Genomic DNA, 23,973 nt, shown 5'->3' with positions numbered 1-23,973 from the left:
TTCTTGGTTTGTAACCATGGAGGTTTACGATTTGTCTAAAAAGGCTTTATTAAGAAAAATGAAAAGGAGCAGAAGGAACCGTCTATGTCCATTGACATATCTATTGAATTCTTAGGCTTGCTACCTGGTTCCCCTGGGTCCAAATTTTGGCCACCAGCAGTGACTAGATGACTTGTCATTTTCACCATAGACCTGAATATTATTGCTTGTGACCCCTTGAAGATGCCTCTTCCTGGTGCTTCCTTCCACCTCCCACCAACAGCTCCGCCTACGTTTCCAATGGCATCTAGATGGTGGACTCAGTTTCTGGGCCTTTTGCAGGCCCGTCCCCCTCACCTTGCCCAGTGCAGAGTGAGCCCTTGTCCCTTGCAGCAAGTTTTGTTATTAAAGTCACTGGGCATTTGAGGCCTTTGTCTTTGGATTATTAATCTGCTCTGCATGTACCCAGGACCCAACAATGAGGGCATCTGTTGCAAATCTAATATTAGCAACAAACTCACGTCACATCATCTTGTATAAAGAGAATATTGAGGGAGAAACATTTGATCACTAGCAGAGACATGGAAGCATTGAACAAGGAGCTCTGTCAAATGCTTGGCTCTCTATTATTCAGGGGAGGGAGGAGAGGAGGGGAGGGAGAAGACTGAAGAGTGTAAGCCTTTCTTTCTTCCCATGTGTTCAGCTCTCCCAGGGCAATATGACATACTCTGCACAACTCCTACAATATTTGACCCCAGGTCAGACATAGAGGTCCACTGCGACCCCAGGACACACAGAGGACTTGGATGGTGCCATTAGAAACAGCCACTTATGGGCCTGGGCATAGGAGGGCATTCCTTTGGCAGAGGATCTGCCTGACTAACAAGCCCAGAACAAGTCACCTGAATTAAAAACTTTGGACACATGACTCAGAAGACCCCAGGTGTTTTACCTTTTCTACCAGTGCCAGAAGTAGAGTGAGATTATTTAAGTTAGTCTCCATGGCTTGGGGCAACTTCCCAACCCAAATGGGTCATTTAGAAAGCAGGGAATGTTTCAGAGGTCAGTGGGCCAGCAGGTCAATTTGGCCAGTAGCGCTTGTAAGTTTTTTGAATTAGCTGCCAACATTGAAAAACCTAAAGATTTTAAAATAAAATTCCAAGTTCAAAGCTTCTCTTGAATATTCAAAAAATGGCAGCCACATGGCCCTCATCCCCACATAACAACAGTCACCCCCACTGTCCAAGTCCTTGGCCTTATGATGAGGCAGGAGCCATTGTCCTGACAGCAACACTCACTTAGATAACTTGCAAGAGCCTGCTGGGATTTTGGATTTCCCACCAGGCATCAAGAGTCTCACATGAGAGGTTGAGAGGAGATCTCTGGTCGAGTTTTCTCCAACCAAGCAACATCTGGGTGCTGTGAGCAGTGGGCAAAAACAGAAAAGCAAGAGAAGGACCTCATTTCAAGGAAGAACAAGCTTCTACCACAGAAAAGCCAAGCCCAGCTGGCACAGTGACTTGAGTGAGAGAGACACAGCCAGCCAGTACAGCTTGGATGCTGTGAAGTGCAACACAGAGAAACAGAAACGTTGGCCGACAAGCCTGTCCCAGCCTTGTCATGTGTCCTTTTAGCTGGAATGAAGACGGGGGAAGGGTGGGTGTGGGGAGAGAAGAATGTGCCCTCTTCATGTCCCTTTGTACTTCCACTTCCTTTGGGGCCTGAAAAGAAGCAAAACAAACCAGAACTCTCACTGGCAGTTGCTGAACAAACTAGACTCCCATCTGCGCCTGCAGCCAAACTCCCCATGGACCAAATGCTAGATGGGTGGTTCTCAACCCTCAGTGCATGTTAGTGTCACTCAGGGAGCTTTTAAACCCTTGTACTCCTGCCTATTAAAACAGAATTTCCGGCGGGGGGGCAAGGGGATGGGGGCCCAGGCATCAGTATGTTTCAAATATGATTCTAATGGGAAGCCGAGGCTGAGAACCAATGTGCCAGAGCAGTGCTTCTCAACCATAAACTTGTCCTTGATTTACCTGGGAGGATTAGTTAAAAATGCAGATCTGAGTCATAGGTCAGGGCCGAAGTCTGAGCTTCTGCACTTCTAACAAGCTTGCAAATGATGCCCATGCTGCAGGATCCCAGCCCATACTTTGGTGACAAGGAGCTGGAGCACTTGTGCTTTGTCATTCTCTCTTCTAGTACTTCCATAGAGAAGATAGCGGGCCTATCACCTCTAAGCCTGAAAGTAACAATAGCAATAGCAATAAAAGTAATGATATTACTATTAAAATAATAAAATCATATCAATAACAGCAAGACTTTGATGTGTGTTTCTTCCTGCCAAACACTGTGCTCAAGTTACACTTTTTAAAAATATTCAACAAGAAGATGTAAAATAATTGCTCATTCTTACCTTGAGTTCTTTACTACTCAAAGTGTCTTACTTATATTAGCTTTTTAGACTTCACAACAACCCTTATTGTCCTGGGTGCTGCTGTTATCATTCCATTTTGGGGAAGAAGGAGCTGAAATACATAGAGATGAAGTTGCTTGCCAAGGCCACCAAGTTTACAAGCACAGAGCTGGGTTTAGACACAGGATGTATGCTAGTAATGACCCTGCTACTCTGTCTCTCCAGGCACTTGGGCCTTGGAGTTGTGAGTTACTTGCCCACAGTCATGCTAATCAATAGTGGAGCTAGGGTTCAAAACTCCATTGGCTTTACTTTACAGACTGAGCTATTGGGAGAGGAAATGAATGAGGTATAGAAAGTGCTAGACACAGTTCTTGGCACATCATGGATACTCATAATTTATTTCTTTATTCCTTTTTCCCACTCCCCTAGAGCATTCCTTGGGGGCTGTCTTAGTCAACTCAGGCCTCAGTAACAAATTTCCTTAGACTAGGGGGCTTAAATAACAAACACTCCTTTCTCACAGTGCCAAAGCTGGGAAGTCTGAGATGTAGGTGTCGGCTCTTGATGAAGGCCCTCTTCTTGGTTTAGAGACAGCCACCTTTCTGGTATGTCCTCACATGACAGAGAGTGAAATCTCTCTTGTATCTCTCCTTTTAAGGGCATTAATCTCACTCATAAAGGCTTCACCCTCATGACCTAAAAACCTTCCAAAGACCCCACCTGCAAATACCATCACTTGGGGATTAGGGTTTCAACATATGAATTTTGGTGGGACACGTTCAGTATATGGCAGGGGGCTGGATAGTGGGAAGAGAGAATGGAACATATCAAATGGCATTTAAATGACCCTGCTCCCTAAAGGAGCCAAGTAATGTCAGTGGCATGGACAGAGGAAGGGAGAGGGTTGACAGTAAGTCACACCCACTTCCTAGAGTGAGGCAGCCAATGGGGTGATCAAAGCCAGCCCCCATATCTCTGCAGGCTCATCCTATGCCTGGCAGAACTGGCAGGAAAGGAATATAGGTACCCTAAGGCAGCCGTTGCTACCAAGAAAGGTGATCTGTGTCCATTTGTCAAGCATGATTGGGAGAAAGTGATCAAAAGGGCTGCAGTGAAACCAGGAATGGACTGAAGCAGCTCTGAGAGTCCATGTAGCTTTGGCACTGAACTTGAGGCTGACTCTCCCAACAGAAGACACATTTCCCCAGGGGTTCTAAGACGAGCAGCATGGAGGAGAGCCTGGATATTGCTATGGTTTCTTAGAAGAAGCTGTAGCATGGTGAGAGTGCCTAACTCCTTGTCTGTGTCTCCATCCAAGCTGACTATAATCTCCGTCTTATGTTCTATCCTTAGCATCTAGTACAGTGCCTAGCATGGAGAGAGTGCTTGATTAACAATATTTGTTGAAAGAATTAATGAACGAATGGATGGATGAATGAATGAAAATCTTTTATTGAAATATGAGAAAGGATTTATTCTCTGGCTCTTCAAGTTATTTCAACCCCTGCTTAGTACTAGTTACATTATTTTTAAAAATAATGTGAAAGTAATAATGCTATAAGAGAGAACTATTTATTTTAGCTGTTTCTTATTATGCTAGCCCTTTTTTTCACTTTTATTGAGGTTTTAGGTCATTTATCATTTAATCAACAACATTCATTGACTTCTCACTGCACAGAAAAAAAAAGAAAGACAACAACCAATTGTATTAATCTGATCTAATCAACAATGTGAAACTATAGATAAAGTACTTACAATTTTAGATGGCCAAGTGTAAGTACAGTTAAGGTAATATCATCATGAGAGGCAAGGTTAGGCCACTTGGTTCCTAAGGAGTTTCTCAGGTGGGAAAAACTTATTGAGTAGACACTTGATATTCACAAGGAATGGATCCTGAGATCTTTGCAAATTCCTAATCCTAGCACTTTTCTAAATATTATCCTTATCTGGAGCCAGGGTTTTCCAGTGCATAGCCTTAATACTCCAAATCTATTGCCTGTTTGACTCTCATACCTGATCTCCCACCTAGTAGCTGTTTTTCCAGGAAATTCCTACGCAGGCTCTGATTTGAGATTGCTCATAAGCAGCTGAAATGACTGTTGTTAACTTAGTGAATGCCAGGGATCTGCTGTGACTGCTAGAGTCCAATCCAATTAGACAGTAGTATGAAGTGCCTGGTAGGAGTCAGATACATGTCATGTTAGCTGACACAGCAGGGAACCAAAAAGTATAATTCCTTCTCTCATAAGATTTGCATCTGGTAGGAAAGAGAGCCATTCACAGGGTTGGTTGTGAATTATGAGTGCTTTCAAGGGCTCTGTGGTCCCCAAGTTCCTCCACCCCCTGCTTACCTGAAACATCAACCACTCCAACTGCTCAGGGGTTTCTGGAGGAGTATGCATTAAGTGAGTTAAGACATTTATGCTTGCTTCATCCCCACATTCAGATCCCTGCCTTGGCTCCTACTCCCTCACTCTTACATGCCAGCCCCTTTGCTAATCTGTGAGCACATGTTGCTATCTCAGGGCATTTGCACTTGCCCCTCTGCCCACAATGAAGCCCCATTCCCGCGGTCACAGGTTCAAGGACCACATCCCCCGGAGGTTTCTGTAGCTATCCTATCAGATAAAGCAGCCTCTGTTACTCTCTAACCCCTCACTCTGCTTTATTTTTCCTCATAGCCCTTACAATTACTTGACATGTTATTATATATCACTCTTGATAATGAGAATAGATCATCCAAGAGAGTTGAAACTTGTCTTTTTCACTGTTGTGTCCCCAATTCCAAGAACAGAGCCTGGAACAGTAGGTTCTCAGTAAACATTTATTGAATGAGTAAATGAATAAATGGGTCCTGAAATACATAGACAGATGCAATGTGAATCTTTTAAGAAGAGGCTCTGAGGGATGGGCCAAAAAAATAAAAGATTTTGGCTGGGCACAGTGGCTCACACCTGTACTCCCAGCACTTTGGGATACCAAGGGGGGCAGATCACGAGGTCAGGAGCTCCAGACCAGCCTAACCAACATGGTGAAACCCCCCTCTACTAAAAATACAAAAATTAGCCAGGTGTGGTGGCACGTGCCTGTAATCCCAGCTACTCAGGAGGCTGAGGCAGGAGAATCTCTTGAACCCAGGAGGCAGAGGTTGCAGTGAGCAGAGATTGTGCCATTGCACTCCAGCCTGTGTGACAGAGCAAGACTCCATTTCAAAATTAAATAAATAAATAAAAGATTGTGATGAGAACAGGAAAAGATGCTCTCAGAGATCCACAGGCCTGAGTGTGGTACTTTTTTGGGTGGAGGGCCCTGAACTATTAGGACACAAGGAAACTGAATGCCAGGATACCAGTAGTACAAATATTACATTTTTGTAAGGTGGCACCTCTAACAATGACACCCTTTCCCTACAGCACTCAGGTTTTCCCCTCCTTTGTCTACCCGAAACTGCTTATCTCCATAACATCCAGCACTTGCTGCGGATTAGTGAGAAGGGTCCCCAGGTGTTACCCTGACAGTTGCTACAGATCAGTGGCAATGAGGAGCAACTAGAGAATGTTAGAAATTTCATCTTGAGAGGCTGGTGAGCAGAGTGGGATCTGCAAGGCAGCTGGAGTGAGGGGCTGTTCATTACCCTGGTTCTATTCAACTTATATGGGTTTCCTTCCCACTTATCTCTGCAGCCAATTCCTAGCAACTGTTTGTGGTTTTCTACTTAAAGCAATGATAGGTAACTAAAACACTGAACAAAACCCCAACTTCTAATTTCTATATGGTCACAGCTCAGTGAAATACATATCAGGGTGAAGTTATTTCTAAATATCTGGAAAGGACTTCTCACACATACACAAAATAGTTAGTGTAATGGTTAATCTTTATGAATAATTTAGTGTGGCCCGGTAGTCAGTCAAAACCTATAGTTAAAATTTTAAAATAAATCTTAGAGTCAAGACCCAAACACCAACCTCTACAAGTGTGCATTCAAGTGTAGTTTCTAATGCACATCTTACAAATGTGGGCTTATAAGTAATAATAGCCAACATTTATTGAGCACAAATTGTGTTTGCTTTGGTCTGAACTTGTTGTGTGCCAACTCTAGCACAGGTGCAAATAGCTAAGAGCTCCCTTTGCCCAAATAAGGAAGTGGAGAGCCAGAGGAAAGAGATGATTTACTGAAAGATTGCTCAATAAGCTAGTGAAGGAGTTCTGAAGAAAGGTTGGCTCTTCTGGCTCCTGATTGTTTTTGAAATCTTGACCTTGCCCTGGCAGCATTGCAACAAGGCCAAGTACAACAAGGAGAGGAATTTGCAAATAAGTATATGTGAACTTTTGTACAAATACGTGGGTAGATCATGAGAAAAAAAGAAGTTTCCTACTAGTGAAAGTAATAGAAGACAGTTTGGCAGTTTCTTATAAAACTAAACATACTCTTACCATGTAATCCCACAAGCAAGCTCTTTGGTATTTACCCAAATGAGCTGAATATTTTCCTCCACACAAAAGCCTGCACATAAATGTTTACATCATTTTTATTCATAATTGCAAAACTTGGAAGCAACCAAGATGTCCTTCAATACATGAATGAATAAATGAACTGCGATACATTCAGACAATGGAATATTATTTGGCAATAAAAAGAAAGGAGCTTTCAAGCCACAAGACATGGAGGAAATTTAAATGTATATTACTAAGTGAAAAAAGCCAATCTGAAAGGCTACATACTCTGTGATTCCAACTATATGACATTGTAGAAAAGGCAAAACTATAGAGGCAGTAAAAACAGTAGTGGTTGCCAGAGGTTAAGGAGGGATGAATGGGTGGAACACAGAGGATGTTTTAGGGCAGTGAAACTACTCTGAATAATACTATAAGAGTGGATACTTATCATTATAAGTCATTTGTCCAGACTCAAAGAACGTGCAACACCAAGGCTGAATCCTAATATAAACTATGAGCTTTGGGTGATAATGGTGTGTTCATCAATTGGTTCATCAGCTGTAACAAATGCACCACTCTGGTGGAGGATGTTGCTGAGGGAGGCTATGCATATGTGGGGACAGGGTCTATAGAAGAACTCTAACTTCTGCTCAGTTTTGCCATAAACTATTCTAAAAAAATAAAACTCATTAATTAAAAAAGTAATGGGTAGGGCTGTGGGAGTGGTGGTGAGGACAGTGGTATAACTGAGCATCACAGAAATAAAGGATATGAGAGTAGGTCCTTGCCCTCGGACTTATCCTAGAGGTAGGGAGAATGCATAAATGCACAGAATTCTTGCTCAAATCTATCAAGCACCTCCTACTTGCCTGTCACATTTACATCACACAATATCTTCACAAAAATCCTGCACTGTAATTTTGGCTCAGAGAAAATCAACGATTTTTTTCTGAAAGTCACATGACCACAAAGTGGCAAGGCCAGATTCAATTGCTGTTCAGCTGGCTCTACATCCGGTTTTCCTCTGTAACTAACTGCTGGAAAGGTAAAAGTGGTGAGTAAGGGAAAGGTTTGCTTTACTAAACACATCACGCTTCAGAATCAACTTTGTATACATGATACACAGCATGCCAATGGATGGGCTGAGTTTGTGACAAGAGGGAAAACACAAAACCACATCATCATTTATTTATTTCACCATTAAAAGAAAAATAAGAGGCTGTGAGGGAGGAGGTGATGGAAGGAATAATTAACAGAGAATCATTATTACTATCCAGAGTAATTGCCTTCCTGGAATTTCTCGTAACAAGGATGCAAGGTCATTTGTAATGGACAAACAGAGGCACACGTTCCTGGGAGTCACCCTCTCTTTGATAGCGAGGAAGGAAACCCTCGGCAGCTCTGGAGCCATGCCAGGGAAGCTTGCTGCACAGCTGGGTGCCAATATAAGGAGTGGCTTGGGCCCAGGGAAATCTATCTTGGTTCATCACAGTCACCACTTTGGCACAGGCCTCTTGACCCTTCATGTACTGGTGGGAGGACTCAAGTGGCAGGAAGATGCAGAAATGCAGGGGAACAGAGGGGAAAGTAGTGGGAGAACTCGGAGTAGAAAGCTGCATGCTTTCAGGACTGGCCTTTAGCTTCATCTCAACACTTCTGTTTTGTGGCAGCCACTCTGAGAATCTAGTTCAGCAGTATGAACTGCTTTCATAGGGCCCTTCACTACAGTTACTGAAACCTTTTTAACTTTTTATCTCAGATGTTGTTACAACAGAGTTTTCTCCACCCTTTGAATACCACCTAAGGGACTGATTGTCTTCTTTGGCCAATGGCAAGGCTCCAGTCCCCAGAGACATTACCTAACCCACTAACCTGTGGCCCATCTTACATCAGGAGGCCTAATACGAGGTGGGCGGAGCTTCTCCCACACAGTACCCTAACAGTGGACATTTTCCCCGACATCCAGAACCTTAATCCATAGTTCTAGTTATACGGTGAAAAGAGAAATCCCTCTCTGAATGTCCTTTCCAGCACCCAGTGAGGAATAGCACAGAGCCTTTGTTGTAACTAAGTTCCCCAGGCCCCTCTAAACCCAAGCAGGCTTCCTCAAGTCTCCTTTCTTCTCTGTAGTATGCGGCTGGGACTCGGCCCATCTTCTTCACCTCTTTCTATGTTCACCCACCGTATTCTTTAATTTCCATCCTGGTGGAAGAGGGAGTTAAAATCTCCCTACCTGCCTACTTCCTTGCTACTCCAAAGGGAGAACAAAGGCTTCACTCCTTACTGCTGCAGGGAAGAAGTCAATACACACATATACTCACACGCTTACACAGACACCAAACAATTTTAGTACCTTACAAAGCTCTTGTCTGAATGTCATTAGACTAATTTTCCACTCCCGTCTCAGATGGTAATTATAGGTCCTTGTTACGGTTTAGAATATTTTCCCACAAAACTCATAGCTCACTGCAGCCTTAAACTCCTGGACTCCAGGGATCCTCTCACCTCAGCCTCCTGAGTAGCTAGGAGTACAGGCATGCGCTACCACGCCCAGCTTGGGAACTTAAAAATAGTGTTGATACCTATGTCCCACTTCCAGAGATACTGATTTAATTGGTTGAGAACCAGCAACCTATGGAGAACAGTGGTTTTCAAACTTTAGTGCATATTAGAATCACCTGGGGAGCTTGTTAAACCAGATTGCTGAGTCCTATCTTAGAGTTTCTAATTTGGTAGGTCTGGGAAGTGAGGCCCTAGAATTGGCCTCACCAATTCTGGAATTTTCTAACACGTTTCCAGGTGATACTGATTCTGCTGTTGCAAGGAGGGGAAGGACACTTTGAGAAACACTGATGTTTCATATCAAGTTCCCACAGGAGAATCACAATGGAGTTTTCTACATCCTTGCTACTTAAAGAATGGTCCATGACCAGCAGCCCTGACAATACCTGGGATTTTATTAAACATGCAGAATCTCAGGCCCCAGACCAAACTCACTGAATTGAAATCTGCATTTTAACATGATCCCCACAGGATTCAAATGTACATTTCTGTTTGAGAACCACTGTTCTGGGTTTCTGAAGCAAATCCATGCTGTATTTAGTAGATAACTCTCCTCTTGAGTAAATGACAGTTCTCCATTGGAAGCTCTTCACTTGCTCTTGGGCCCTGGCAGAGATAAAAAAAACTTGACCATAGGTGAGCATATGACCTGAGCCTCCCATCATGAGCTGGGTGATGACTGACCTAACAAGACACAAAGTGAGTCACACCTGCCAGCTCTCTGCCCTCAAGCAGAAATAAGACTGAAATGACCAAGATGGGACATGTTCTGAAGACACAAGTAAATCACATAAGCAGGTGACTTATAGTCCCCAGTATGCCTGCTCTTGCCACTCTGCTATCCTCTTCCAGTCTTCACATATAGCCTTGTAGGGAATTCTCTGGTAAGCAATTGATTGAGGAAGTAAAATTATCAAGCTCAGTTACAAATGGCTGTGCATAAGTGGCTACAACCATTAGCATGGGTCATGGTGGCATTATAACCTACACAGTATGTCCCTGAGCAATTCTGGAGAAGGGAAAAACCGTTCAAGGGGTAGAACTTTCAGTATCTCATCTTGTTATCCACTTCTCCTGGAAGAGGAACACCAAGAATAGCTAAGCCACTCTTGATGAAGACAAGATGAGAGAACTTGCTTTATTAGATATCAAGGTTTATTATAAAGCTGAAGTAATTAAGACAGTATTAGGTGCAGGCATGGAAAAAACATACTAATAGGGGCCAAGGCGGACAGATCACTTGAGCTCAGGAGTTCAAGACCAGTCTAGGCAACATGGCAAAACCTCATCTCCATAAAAAATACAAAAGTTAGCTGGATGTGGTGGTGTGTGCCTGTAGTCCCAGCTACTTGGGAGGCTGAAGTGAGATGATGACTTGGGCCCAAAAAGTCGAGGCTGCAGTTAGCCAAGATCACACCACTGCACTCCAGCCTGGGCAACAGAGCAAGATTCTGTCTCTCTCTGTCTCTGTCTCTGCCTGTCTCTCTCTCTATATATATAATACATAATTACATTATATATTTATATATTATATATAAGTATACATAATATATATGAAATATAAATAAAATATATTTTAGACTTTATATATATTCTATTTACATAAAATTATATATATGTTATATATTACAGACTATATATCTTTTATATCTTCTATATATATCTACATCTTTATATATGTATATGTATGTGTATACATGTATATATACACATACACAGTATGTATATGTATATGTATATATCTCAATAGAAATAAATAGTGAATCCAGAAGTAAACTTACCCAGTATGGATACTAATATATGGTAGAGGTGGCAGATTGGATAGGAAAGGAGTTTTCAATAAATAGTGCTTTAAAAATTGATATCCAAGTAGGAAAAAAATTATGTTAGATTTTTACCTCACCACATGCACAAAAATCAATTTCAGTTGTGTTAAAGTACTAAATGCTGAAAGACAATACTATACTGAGTATAGGAAATAATATATGAAACTATCTTTACTGCTTCAAATTAGAAAACAAGACATATAAAACACTAACCACAAAATGTTTGAAGAATTTAGCTACATTAGTGTAAAAATAACTCATCAAAAGACATCATAAAGTGAATTAAAAAACAAGCCACAGAATGGGAAAATATATTTATAGGGCATAAAGACAAATAAGATCCAGATACATAGAAAATACCTTTAAATTGTTAAGAAAAGACAGGTGACCCAATAGGAAGGTGGACAAATTATTGAAAAGGCACTTCACAAAGGAGGATATCCAAGTGGCTAAAAAACAAACAAATAAAAAGCTACAACCTTTTGGTAATCAGGGTAAAGAAAATTAAAACCAAATGAAATACCACTATATACCCATCAGATTTGCAAATATTAAAAGGTCTGACGTTAACAAGTGTTAATGAGGATGTGGAGCAAGTAGAATTCTCATCAATTGATGATAATAGTATATATTGGTAGAACTACTTTGGAAAATAGTTGAAAATTATCTAACAAAATTGAATATGTACTTGATCTATAACCCAGAAAATGCACTTTTGGGATTGATACCTGAAATATATATACACGTGTACATCAGGTTTTATGTATAAAAATATTCATTGCTTCCTTATTCAGAATAACTAAAATAGGAAACAACCCAGATGTCCATCAATAGAACAGTAAAAACTGAATTATGATTTATTAATTAGTAAAACACTACACAGCATCAAAAATAAACTCAGCCACATGCAACAATACAGAGAATCTTAAAGACATAGTATTGAGCAAAATAATCAGTACACACAAAATTCCACTTATACAAAGCTCAAAAACAAAATTAAGCAATATTTTTAGAAATGCACTTATAAATGATGACTGACCCACTATCAAGGAAAGTATTTAACATTGCTCTGAAAGTTCTGGAAATTCTTGATTTTCCTTTCTCAATTTCTACACCCATCACCACGCCCAGTCTTCCCCAACTCACTAAACAGCACCGTCATCCATTTAGCATTTCAAGCCAGTGAGAAGTCATCCTTAATTCTGCTTTTTCATTAATTTCCCTACTTCTAATCTATTACGTGTCTTATTAGATCTAAGATCAATATATTTCCTGAATATGTCTATTTATGTCCATTTCCAACACTACCACTGAAGTCTAAGCCATTGTCACCTTTCTTTCTGGATTACTGCAATAGCCTCACAGCTTCCACTCTTGACCACATACACTCCATTCTGCACTCAGCCCTCATAGTGATCATTATAAAGGATAAAATGGTGTGGCCAGTTAGCTCAGTTGGTTAGATCATGGTACTAATAAAATGCAAAACATGTCACATCACTCTTCTTCATGGGTTCATGTCCTCTGTGGGTCAGGTCTTCCACATGTAGAGTAGAGGTAGGGTATGTTCACACCTTCAATGACAACTACACATTTCTGCTCCAACAGGTCCAAAATTGTTCCTAGGTTTCAAAGTTGTTGTTTGTTTGTTTTTTTCCTTTTTCTTTTTTTTTTTTTTTTGAGATGAAGTTTTGCTCTTGTTGCCCCGGCTGGAGTGCAATGGCGTGATCTCGGCTCACCACAACCTCTGTCTCCCGGTTTCAAGCGATTATCCTGCCTCAGCCTCCGAGTAGCTGGGATTATAGGCATGCGCCACCATGCCCAGCTAATTTTTGTATTTTTAGTAGAGACGGGGTTTCACCATGTTGGTCAGGCTGGTCTTGAGCTCCTGACCTCAGGTGATCCACCTGCCTTGGCCTCCCAAAGTGCTGGGATTACAGGCGCGAGCCACCATGCCCGGCCACAGGTTTCAAAGTTTTTAACGTATAAAGAGTTGCTGATTTTAACATCATATTTTGGTCACGTTTAAGATGTTCTACAGATATTTTTGCTTCAAAGCTTCAAACTCCAGCTATGCCTGGGTCTCATTCTATCCCCAGAAATTGACAATGCTTCCCTACCCTTAGGGCTGCCCCGTCCCCGTCCCACTCGGTCCCATTTAATAAATATACCTCACCTCCCTTCGCCACCTGCTGGACGCGAGGGGCTACTACGATGCCATGGGTGTCCTGATTTTTTATTTCTCAGACAGGACTGCTCTGTGTGTGTCTTTGGATTCTACGTAGATTTATATTTGTAAAATATTACATTTGTCATGACCAGAAGAAATGTCATTATCGTAAAATTTAGATTCTGGAGTCTATATATGAAAGCAATACTAACTACTAACTGTTATAACAACAAAATGTGGGATGTATATCTACAGACCACAGCCACCTTGCCAGTTCATTCAAGAATCGAACCCTGGATTTAGCAGTTTCTGCACAAAGGGAATGAAATATTTTTAATTGATAATTCAGTCAAAAATATTAATGAAGATCCATATGATTGAAAGAATAAATTTATTCAATTGGCTCCAATGTAATCCTATTGTCACCAGATCATTGACACCAAATTGTTATTTTTCCCTTTGCTAGTAAAGGTATAAGCAGAAACAATTGCAAAAGAACACATAACATCTAGTAGGGATAATGATGAAAGCCAAAAATGGATTATTTGAAAATAATTTTGGAAGTAAAAAAACCATAGGTGTGAGGAAAAAAGAGAGAAACTACAAATAAACTGCATTGTGATAAAACAATAAAGCACATAGCTAAAAGCCTATTAAGGATTTTTTAAAAATTATATTTTGAGAAACACTTGGTGCTAATAATTTTCTCAAAAGTACAAATATCCAAAAGTCATACAGAAAATAAAACAACCTACTTTCCATCAAAAGTTTCTAATTTTATTCTGAGAAAAGATAACACCAAGAAAACAATTTTAACTACAGAAACAATGGTTAGCGTAAAAAATTAATAATCAAAAAGATAAACCATGTTATAAGTACTTAACAAACTTATAAACTATTTCTTCCATAACATTCTCCATATTTTAAGTTCATACATGTTGATATGATCAGATTTACAATTTTTCAGAAAAGACGGGGGAAAAGGTGTGATTATCGTCAGCTAGATGTGCTCACTGCATGCTCCATTATTTATCTGCAAGGCCTGGGTGACTGGAAGTGCAGTTGACAGGCATTTTAATAAACTGGACAGCCATTTGTTCTTCAGGACAAGGCGTGTTTTCCCCAGGAGCAATCAGAAGAAAACAGGAAGCAGCTCAGCACTCTGCACTGCAACAGGCCACCTTAATAGCTAACCAGCATCACTCAACTGCTACGCAGCCGGGCCTGGTGCACAAAAACACAAAAGAGATTAGACCTGTGTTTGCTAAAACCCCAGTCCTTTCACATGAAAAATCTTTATACAAATTTGGGTCACACTACCTTTTAGACCTGGAGGTAAATAAAATTATCCATATTAATTTACACCACCTTTTGTAGGTTTTTAAGGAATGAAGGCAATGTTGAAGCATGTCTTGACAGCGTTAGGCTGTGTGTAATGGCTGCACACGTTTCCTTAAAAGTCAGGAGGCCACAAATTAGGTTACCAATCTGTTCATTTCAAACCAAAACAGTCATCACTATAGAAATAAAAATAAATTTTTGCCTCAAATATCCAAACCCAATAACGTAATCTTAGGTCGTTCACCTCCTAAGTTACAATAAAATGTGAATAACAACAAAACGGCACATAGAATGAATTTTGCCACCTGATGCAAAGCTTCAAACTGGCAAAAAGGTAGAAAAGTGTGACACAACCTTTTCAATAGGCAGCCTCTTCTTCCAGGGACGTTGCTTCCATAGACTGAGTATGTGATCCTTTTCCCCCAAGTCCTCCATCACGTTGCTTCCTGATGCATCATTTTCTTAAGAGGACATCTGTCCTTCCTCTTCAGGAGACTTGGGGGGCCTCTTGGATCGCGACCTTGACTTGGATTTCCTCTTGGATACCCGGGGAGGACTCCTGGTCATAGATGAAGACCTGGACCGCGAGCGAGACCTGGAGACCGAGGAGGACTTGGATCGTCGCGCAGAGCTCGATTTGGAGGTTGATGCAGAGCGAGAGCTAGTGGAGGACCCAGACTTCGAGTGAGACCGGCTGCTGTGATATCGGCTGTAGCGAGAGTTACTGTAACCAGATGAGCTGTAGTGAGATCCGCCGTAGCGAGATTCCCTGTAGCGAGATCTGCTGTAGGGAGAGCGGCTGTAGCGCGACCGGCTGTAAGGAGATCGGCTGTAGGGAGACCGGCTATAGCGAGAACCCCTATAGCGAGATCGGCTGCGGGACCTGGAGCAGCTGGGACCCCGGGATCGGCTGCGGTGTCGCCGCCTGGGGCTGCGGCTCCGCCGCCCGTAGCTGCGGCTCCGCCGTCCGTAGCCGCCGCCTCTGGACCTGCCGCGTGGCTCTCCCTGGCGGCTGCGGGGCAGGTCCCGGCGGCCATAGCGCGCCACCTGCACCCGCAGCTCGCGTCCGTCCAGCTCCGCCCCGTCCATGGCGGCCTCGGCGTCTTGGGCGTCGCGCCGGTCGTGAAAGCGGACGAAAGCGAAGCCCCGGGGCGCCTTGGTGTGGGGCTCCCGCGGGATGTACACGTCGCCCACGCGCCCGTACTTCTCGAACACGCGCCTCAAGCTGTCGGGAGAGGTGCGGTAGGTCAGGTTGTCCACCTTGAGGGTGATCATGCCGTCCACGTCGGGAGGGGGGCGGCCGCAGCTCATGGCTCCGAGAGCAGCCCGGGCCCGGAAACTGGCGCTGCTCTGGGCGCTGACGGTGCGACCTGCGTTTCTTTCTCGCGGTTGCGCCCCGCGTGGGGACGCCGGGAAAGGCCGGGCGGAGAGGCGGGCGGCGGAGCTCCGCAGGGAGCGCCCTGGAGCAGCAACTTCCGAGTTCCCAATTTCAGGCCAAATACTCCAGGACCCAGAGGAAGGTTTCCTTTTGGTAGCTGAACTCCAAATGAAGCCAGGCCCCGAAGATCCTGGCCTTGTACCTGGGCAACATCCTAACCTAATCAGCGCCCAGCTAATGTAATCACTGGGCTGGATTTACATTAGACGTCCCACCCTCCCATGCTCCTCCCTATTATTCTACGTTTTAAACCAATCTTAAGAACAAAGCTAACTGATTAAAGGTCAATTTATGGGAACAGGCAATCCAGACAAATATTAAACAAAAGAAACCTAGGGCAACAATATTAATATCCAGTGTATTGATAGGATCAAAGGAGCACATTTCATAGTTATTGAAAAGAAAATTCACTAGGAAAACATTACAGTGATGAACTTAACGCACCTAAACACATAACAGTGACACATAGCCAAGACTGAGAGTTATAAGGTAAAACTGAAAAATCTGCACTCATGATGGAAGTTTGTTTTTTCCCCGTAACACCGTTTTCTCAGAAATCAATAGTGCAGAGAACAAAACTAGTAATGCTATAATAATTTGCACAACAAACAACAATTTTGATCATATAACCTGCAACAACCAAAAATATATAGAAAACAGAAGAATTTCCCAATACAAGACTACAAAATAAATGTCAATTAAAATTTAATAGGTCAATAAATTCAGCACATCTGGACCTCAGTGAAATAATATTGAAGGTTAAAAATAAAAAACCTGAATCCAATCATATTTACTTGAAAATTAATAACCACATTTCTAAAACTTTTTTTATGTTGAAGTCAAGCAATTAGTAAAACAAAACCAAAACAAAAAATAAAACATTAAAATAAAAATAGAATTACAAATAAAAGGGACAATATGTTTTTTTAAAAAGATGATTAATAAAACTGAAATCTAACACTTTTAAAGAAAAAAACAATCTAGCAATACTGATGAAGAAATACAGTTTCTAAATCTGGAAAGGAAATATACAGAAAGGGCCTAGAGCATCTTGGAGTGCTGGAAAATAAGGATGTGATAAATAGAAAACAAACAAAAGCATTGATGGGGTAATTTTAGAGGGGTACAAAAACCAATAAAACAGCTCCCAATGGCCAAATCTTGAACAATTTAAGGAACAAACTAAAATACTACTATATCATATTCCAAAATATAAAATAAATATTAATCTGTGCTGTTGTAAATAAATGATTAAATAAATTAACACATTGGAGAAAAGAGAGAAAACTCCTCTGCAGGAGAATTCTAAATTAATTAAATTAATTAAAACGTTGCTGATTTTGAAAATGTTATGTAACCTTATATACATAGAATTGTGCTTTTTATATTTTAATGTATTTTGTGTTTTATTTCCCTCATCTATGTGTTCCATGTAGCTGTACTTGATCCTGTTACCTTGCCGTAAGGCATTCAATGGTATAAATGTTTGTGCTGTTGATGGGCACTTGGGTTGTTTCCACTTTTGGCCTCTTACAGTGTTGCTCAGAACATGCTTGGACATGTATACTGGAGCTCATGTGTCCTCTTAGGTATGAATGGATCCCTTGTCACAGAATACAGGCAGCCCACTGTAACCTCTGGCTTCAGCATCAGTGAATTCAGCCAACTGTGGGTAGAAATTATTCAGAAAAAAAAAACAATAAAAATAAATAGAACATAATACAGTAAACAATTATTTACATAGCATTTTCATCATAATGTAAGTAATCTAGAGATGACTTAAAGTATGTTGGAAAATACGTATAGGTTACATGCTCATACCAAGCCATTTTATATATGGACTTGAAAATCCTCAGAATCCTCAGGGGTTACTAAGGACCAAACCCCATCCACCTGCAGAATATCAAGGGACAACTGTATGTGAATTCAAACTTTACCATGCCTGATTGTTTTTCAACAGTTTTTATCAATTTACACACAGGATAGCTGTGTATGAGGGTGCTCAGTGCTCTTCACTTTTGCAAACCTTTGGTGAATATCAGACTTTTTAGTTTTAGCCAGTTAGGTGAGGGCATTAAGATTTGTTTTACCTGTGATTTCGTCCCCACACAACAGCCTGGGGTGACACAGTGAGATTTTGTCACTTAAAACTTAAAAAAAAAAAATTCATTTCCCTAACTGCAAATGAGAGTGAGTAATTTTTTCACGTTCATTGGCCATTTGGGTATTCTTACTCATAAGCTGCCTATTATGTATTTTGTCCATTTTTCTATTGGGTTGGCGTTCTCTGCACTAGCTCTTTATATATAATGGATATCAGCTCTTTGCTGGATATGAGTAATACAATATCAGTTCACACTCCTTGGTTTGTCATTTCTCTCTTTTTTTCATATCTTTTGATGAACAGAAGTCCCTCTTTATTTCTAATAGTAAAATATTATTTAAAATAGCTAACATACCTGGTGACTATAACATGGCAAACACTGTTCGGTTTACTCTTGGTACAATAAATCATTTAATTCTTATGACCTATAAGAAGATTCATACCTCTAATTTTCAGATGACAGAACTGAGTCATTGAGACATTAAGTCACTTGTTCAAGGCGGTAGAGCTAGCACTGTTAGAGTCAAATATTTAAATGACAACCCCCAAAATGATGCCTTAAAACAAAAAAAAGACTTCTCCCTTATCAAACTGTAATATTTGAGCTGATATCAACAGTACCTCTAAGCACAGATACTGAGACCAGACACAGATACATGTACAGTTGACCCTGGAACAATGAGGGGATTCAGGGTGCTGAATCCCTGTGCAGTTGAAACTCCTCAAATACTTTTGACTCCTCCCAAAACTGAACTACTAAGAGCCTGCTGTTGACTGGAAGTCTTACAGATATCAACGGTTGATTAACACAGATTTTGTATGTGACATGTACTAAATACTGGATTCTTACAGTAAAGAAAACTAGAGAAAAGAAAATGTTTTTAAGAAAATCATAAGGAGGAGAAAATGTATTTACTATACTGTACTATATTTATGGATACCTTAACCATTTACAAGATGAATAGCCTGTCTGAAATGGCTGGCAACCTCACTGCAGACCTCAATGTACCCTACACATCAAGCAATTCAACATTTTCTTATACTGTCGTGACTTTTCTCTGCTTCTTGGGAACATTTCCAGCATCACTAGTGGCACTTCGTCTGGGCCCCATAGTATTATTCAAGCTTTAGGATATTGCCCTAAACATGATACTCAAGAGATCACTTTTTACTGTGATAGACAATTTACCAGAGAGAAAAAAATTGCTCAGGCAGAGATGATTAGCATCCTGCAGCATTTTAAGAGGATACTCACCACACGAGCTCACTGCAATGGCAAAAGGAAGAGGCTACAAAATTCTTATAATAATACAGTATTACTATAGTTAATTTTATGCAGTTATGATTTAATACTATATCTTTACATTTGTTTACATTTATCTCAACTTCAAATGGCATTATGTATGGTCTGTGTGTGTGTGTAAATTCTGATAAATTTTAACTTTTTGTAACAGGATTGTACATATTTTATGGTAGCAAATGTTAAAATACACTAATATCTATACATATTTTATGCATTCATGACACACCTAATTTTTTCTTATATTTTTCAATATTTCTAGAGTACAAGATACATCTGGGAGTTTTTTCAAATTGTTCTAAATCTCCAAAAAATTTACCAATACGGTTGTGGAAAAAAAAAATCCCTGTATAAGTGGACCCATGCACTTCATTTGTTCAAGGCTCAACTGTATATGTGGGAGTCTGTATATAATAAAGGTGGCTTACCAATCCCATGAAAAGCAATCAACAATTCAATAAGAGATATTGATCTTGGGGGGAAAAATAAAATAGAGCTCTACCGTGCACTACTTAGAAGAGTAAATTAGTGATGGATTAAAGACTGTATAAAAGAGAACTTTAGGGCTATTTGAGAATATACTGAAAAATGTGTTTATGAATTCAAGGTGGGAAAATTATCTTAAAGAAGAGCCAAAAGCACAAACCACAATGAAAATTTCTGACATATTTAACTCATTCCAGTATATGATGACATAAAAAATTGAGACAAGATACAGGCTGGAAGAACAGTTTTGTCATATGTAAAATAGACAATGAATAAGTATCCTGAAAACTTCCACAGATCAATAAAAACAATGAGTCAACCCAAAAGAAGGGATCGAAGCCTTAGAAAAGGCAACTCAAAAAAAAAGGAAATCCAAATGGCCAATAAATATGAGGAGATGTATAAGATCACTAGTAATTGAGAAAATGCATTGAGACACTTTTTCTCAATTTAAATTAGAAAAAGTGAAACGATCTGACAGTGTAAAAATGGGCCAAGATATGGGGAAACCAGAACTGTCCCACTGCTAATGGAGATAGAAATTGTAGACTGACCTAGCTATTCTTAGAATAATTGAAAACAAATATCAGTATAACCAAGGAACTCCAGTTCTATGCACACAGCTGTTCAAGAAAGTGTTGTTTGACATAACAAAGATGTGGAAATAATCTACATGTCCATCAGCAGGGGAATGAATAAAATAAAAAATTACACAGGTCTATTGACTCTGTTGGAGTCACTAGGATCTATATACGTAGCAATCTGTTCAGGCCTTGTAATATTGAGTTTTTAAATAGGTAGCAGGAGGAAGAGAAGTTGTTAAAACCAAACCTGACATATCATCTTGGCTCTGTAGACTTCCGACTATAAACAGGAAGAATATGCATCAAACTCATAATTGTTATTTCTCAGAAATGAAGAGAAGCCTTCAGAAATGAAGGAACAGAGGTCATGGGAGAGGACAAAGATGGCTCTACACTTGCTCTTAGATAATTTTCATTATCAATGTTCCTTGATTTTCCAAAACAAAACAGTACAGAATAGCAAAAGCTTATGATTGGACATGGGCAAACAGCTAGATATGGGCAAATTTTACAAAGAAGAGTGACCCAAATTGAGATTGTCAGATGAAGTAACATAGAATTCTAATTACAATTGCTTGAAGAAGCCCTCCACAGCCACCCCTAACTCCCTGAACTTTCCAGAAGACTAATTTAGAAACAAGTTTAGCTGTACTATTGCTTGCTCTTATTTGGCAAGAGAATGTAAAATATTTATGAAAGTAGCTGAATAGAAACAGGAGGACAATAGGAGTAATATTTTCTACAAATTATTTGTGTGTTTATGTTTCTTTTCTTTTACTATCCAAGATTTTTTTTAATGATAGCCATTCCAGGGCATCTATCTGGCTAGGATAAGATTGTGATGCTGCTGAAGATAACAAGCAGAAATTCAGTTCTCACATTCCAAGTTGGAACGTGAGCCAAGCTACCATCTCCAGAAATTGTCAGAATCCCTTTCTTTCCTGCACTTTTATGTCCACAATCCGACTTCATCACCTAAGTTTAGCAACCTCCAATTCTCACCTGGAATATAGGAGCAAGAAAGTCTCATTTTCCACTGAAAGATGAGTGGAAGTCGTTGGTGGAAGTAGTCATCCAGATGCTAACTTGATGGAGCTGACCCAAGGAACTAAAGAAACTTCTCCAACAGATTTTTATCAAAATCTCTGTGTTTAGCCTCACTTTTACATCCAACTCTAGAGGTACCTGGTGTCACAAAATCTTGATTCCTTTTGGTTCTGCATTGGGGATTCCATTGCCCTCCAGGTTTTCTCCCTGCCAGCCTAGCATTCAGCTTTCCAGTGTTTCTTAAGATGGTTCCCACTTTTCCAGCTGCTCCTGTCTTGTCTCCTGTTCAGTTTTCTCCAGTTTAAAATACATGCAATAAAAATGCATACACCATAGGTCTCCACATCAGTGACTTTTAACATTCATATACACCCATGTAATCATCACCCAAAAGGAGATGTAGAACATTCCCATGGCCCCATCACATTCTCTCATGCCAGGAGCTTTCCAGTCAATCCCTGCTTCCCACCAGAGGCAATCACGTTCTAAACTCGATGACCACAGCTTACTTTGGTCTATATTTGCAATGAGTATGAATGAAAATATACAATAGGTTTTCACTTTGGATCTGGCTTCTTTTCCAAATCTGATGTTTGTAAGATCCAGCTATTCCTGTTGCATGTACCAGCAATACATTCCTTTTTGTTGCTGAATAATATTCAATAAGCTACAAATTTTAATAAGCTATGAGTTTTTCTATTTATATATTCAGAGATATATGAATTATCCACAGTTCATGATTCTTATAAAATGTGTAGGTATTTAGGAGGAGAACTGCTATGGATTGATGAGTGCTTAAGCTTATAGAACATTGACAAACGGTTTTTCAAAGGGGCTGTATGATGGTACATTCACAGTAGCAATGCATGTGAGAGTCAGTTGCTCTGGAAATGGAACTGTTTCTTTCAGAGCCAGAGCGCATGGTTCTAGTAAATCCAGGTGTAAAACTGGGACTGATCCATCAGGCCAAAGATCAGATGTTTGCTTCTTGTCCTTGTGACTTCTGGTGTTCAAAGTGGCATGTTTTCAATGGGGGTCACAACAATAGTTCCATACATTGGAAGCTGAGATTCTATCTCATGGCCATTTCTATCTCCTCACATCCCTAAATAACCATGCAAAGAAGGATTATAATTTCTCAGCAGGGGGACCAATCTTTATTCTCTCAAGGAAATTATGCCTTTGAAACACAAAGAAACCTAAAGTACAATTGCAGGTCAGGTCCACTACAGAGCAGACTCTAAGACTTCAGCACCAAGATCTTTAGAGTGCCTTTGGGATCAATATCTGACTAAGGGAGGTATAGGAAGCAGGTTTGAGCACAGAGAAAAGTTGATCTGTGGTTTATGCCCAAAGATAGTCAGCCGATCCTGCAGGGACTCTGGAGCTCAAATGGCCTCAGGATTGTCCTGAGTTCAGCAGAGATGGCCAAGCTTTATGCTCCAGCACTGAGCAGTCATTGGATGTGGGCTACACTCGGAAGAGACATGGCCTTGGGTAAGGCAGCTCTCTGCAGCTGAAGGCTGTCTGCCTCCTGCATTCCAGGGCCAATGAGGCTTTTTCCTATCACATAAAAATTGATTCCTTGGTCACACAAGGTGTACTGTAGGTCCAGCAGTTCTCTAGGGCTTCTCCCTTCCAGTGAGTCCAGTATGCTTTCATCTTGTGGTTCCACCATCTCAGTATTAGCTTTAGCCCCTTTTCAGCCAGGCAACTCACTCCATCTTCCTGTGTGCCTGGAGACTCTGCGTTCAGCCTCCCAGCTTGAATTTTATAAAGAATAAACTTCCATCTCTTATTACATTAGAAATGACAAAGTTGTCTGAATGAGTGAGATAGGCAAGAAAATTTGTGTTTTTCTGTTCTTTATTGAGAAGTTCAGGCAAGCACCAATTGTTTTTTACTTTAGCCCTCAAATTGCCTGGTGCTTCAACTTTGGAGCCTTAATAACATTCTGTAAGGGCAGTTAAGCAAGAGTAGTACTAAGGGGAGGGGTGGCTTGCTTCTCTGAATGTTTCCTTCTACATCCAAAACTATCACCTTCAATTTCGAAAATAAGTTTTGAATTTGTCCACTTCTGTGCATTTGCAATATGAACAACTGAGTCTAAGCAACTGTCACTCTCACTTTTAGATGGTCTGTTTCTCCTTCTGGCACATTCTCCACAGAGCAACTAAACTGATTGTTTAAATGTATAAATCACATCTTCACTGCCGTTTTACACTTCCAGTGCCTTCTCAATTCAAGTTGATAGACTACCCAATAATGCAATTAACA

At 40.5% G+C, this 23,973-nt stretch overlaps 1 protein-coding gene across 3 annotated transcripts, besides 8 other annotated features; it reads right to left on the bottom strand.

The window, feature by feature from the left end:
- Positions 1,944-2,144: a silencer, noted in NCBI's record as "peak1405 fragment used in MPRA reporter construct". NCBI's record gives its function as "represses an SCP1 promoter by STARR-seq MPRAs in K562 erythroleukemia cells {active_cell/tissue: K562}" and the evidence as "EXISTENCE:reporter gene assay evidence [ECO:0000049][PMID:32103011]".
- On the bottom strand, positions 12,050-16,398 carry SRSF8 (serine and arginine rich splicing factor 8). Of its 3 annotated transcripts, none has more exons than NR_169861.1 (2): positions 14,717-16,356; positions 12,050-14,620 (listed from the first exon to the last, which is right to left on the bottom strand). NR_169861.1 is itself a non-coding variant. In NM_032102.4 (1 exon), the coding sequence occupies exon 1, from the start codon at positions 16,046-16,048 to the stop codon at positions 15,200-15,202; it is 849 nt and encodes a 282-aa protein (NP_115285.1). In that variant the 5' UTR covers positions 16,049-16,356; the 3' UTR covers positions 12,050-15,199.
- Positions 13,382-13,441: a silencer, noted in NCBI's record as "silent region_3845". NCBI's record gives its function as "represses an Ori minimal core promoter by ATAC-STARR-seq in GM12878 lymphoblastoid cells {active_cell/tissue: GM12878}" and the evidence as "EXISTENCE:reporter gene assay evidence [ECO:0000049][PMID:35858748]".
- Positions 14,614-14,673: an enhancer, noted in NCBI's record as "active region_5411". NCBI's record gives its function as "activates an Ori minimal core promoter by ATAC-STARR-seq in GM12878 lymphoblastoid cells {active_cell/tissue: GM12878}" and the evidence as "EXISTENCE:reporter gene assay evidence [ECO:0000049][PMID:35858748]".
- Positions 14,684-14,863: an enhancer, noted in NCBI's record as "active region_5410". NCBI's record gives its function as "activates an Ori minimal core promoter by ATAC-STARR-seq in GM12878 lymphoblastoid cells {active_cell/tissue: GM12878}" and the evidence as "EXISTENCE:reporter gene assay evidence [ECO:0000049][PMID:35858748]".
- Positions 15,171-15,280: an enhancer, noted in NCBI's record as "active region_5409". NCBI's record gives its function as "activates an Ori minimal core promoter by ATAC-STARR-seq in GM12878 lymphoblastoid cells {active_cell/tissue: GM12878}" and the evidence as "EXISTENCE:reporter gene assay evidence [ECO:0000049][PMID:35858748]".
- Positions 15,775-16,532: an enhancer, noted in NCBI's record as "NANOG-H3K27ac-H3K4me1 hESC enhancer chr11:94799907-94800664 (GRCh37/hg19 assembly coordinates)". NCBI's record gives its function as "activates a minimal SCP1, AML or CMV promoter by ChIP-STARR-seq in primed H9 embryonic stem cells {active_cell/tissue: H9 hESC(primed)}" and the evidence as "EXISTENCE:reporter gene assay evidence [ECO:0000049][PMID:30033119]".
- Positions 15,861-16,050: an enhancer, noted in NCBI's record as "active region_5408". NCBI's record gives its function as "activates an Ori minimal core promoter by ATAC-STARR-seq in GM12878 lymphoblastoid cells {active_cell/tissue: GM12878}" and the evidence as "EXISTENCE:reporter gene assay evidence [ECO:0000049][PMID:35858748]".
- Positions 16,301-16,380: a silencer, noted in NCBI's record as "silent region_3844". NCBI's record gives its function as "represses an Ori minimal core promoter by ATAC-STARR-seq in GM12878 lymphoblastoid cells {active_cell/tissue: GM12878}" and the evidence as "EXISTENCE:reporter gene assay evidence [ECO:0000049][PMID:35858748]".

Source organism: Homo sapiens, chromosome 11, assembly GCF_000001405.40.
Source record: "Homo sapiens chromosome 11, GRCh38.p14 Primary Assembly".
Classification (NCBI taxonomy): Eukaryota; Metazoa; Chordata; class Mammalia; order Primates; family Hominidae; genus Homo; species Homo sapiens.
Note: the sequence above shows the minus strand (reverse complement) of the source record. Positions and strands in the feature narration are given on the sequence as shown.

Coding starts and splice junctions, on each gene's coding strand:
- SRSF8 (NM_032102.4), bottom strand. CDS start 16,048: ATGAGCTGCGGCCGCCCCCCTCCCGACGTGGACGGCATGATCACCCTC.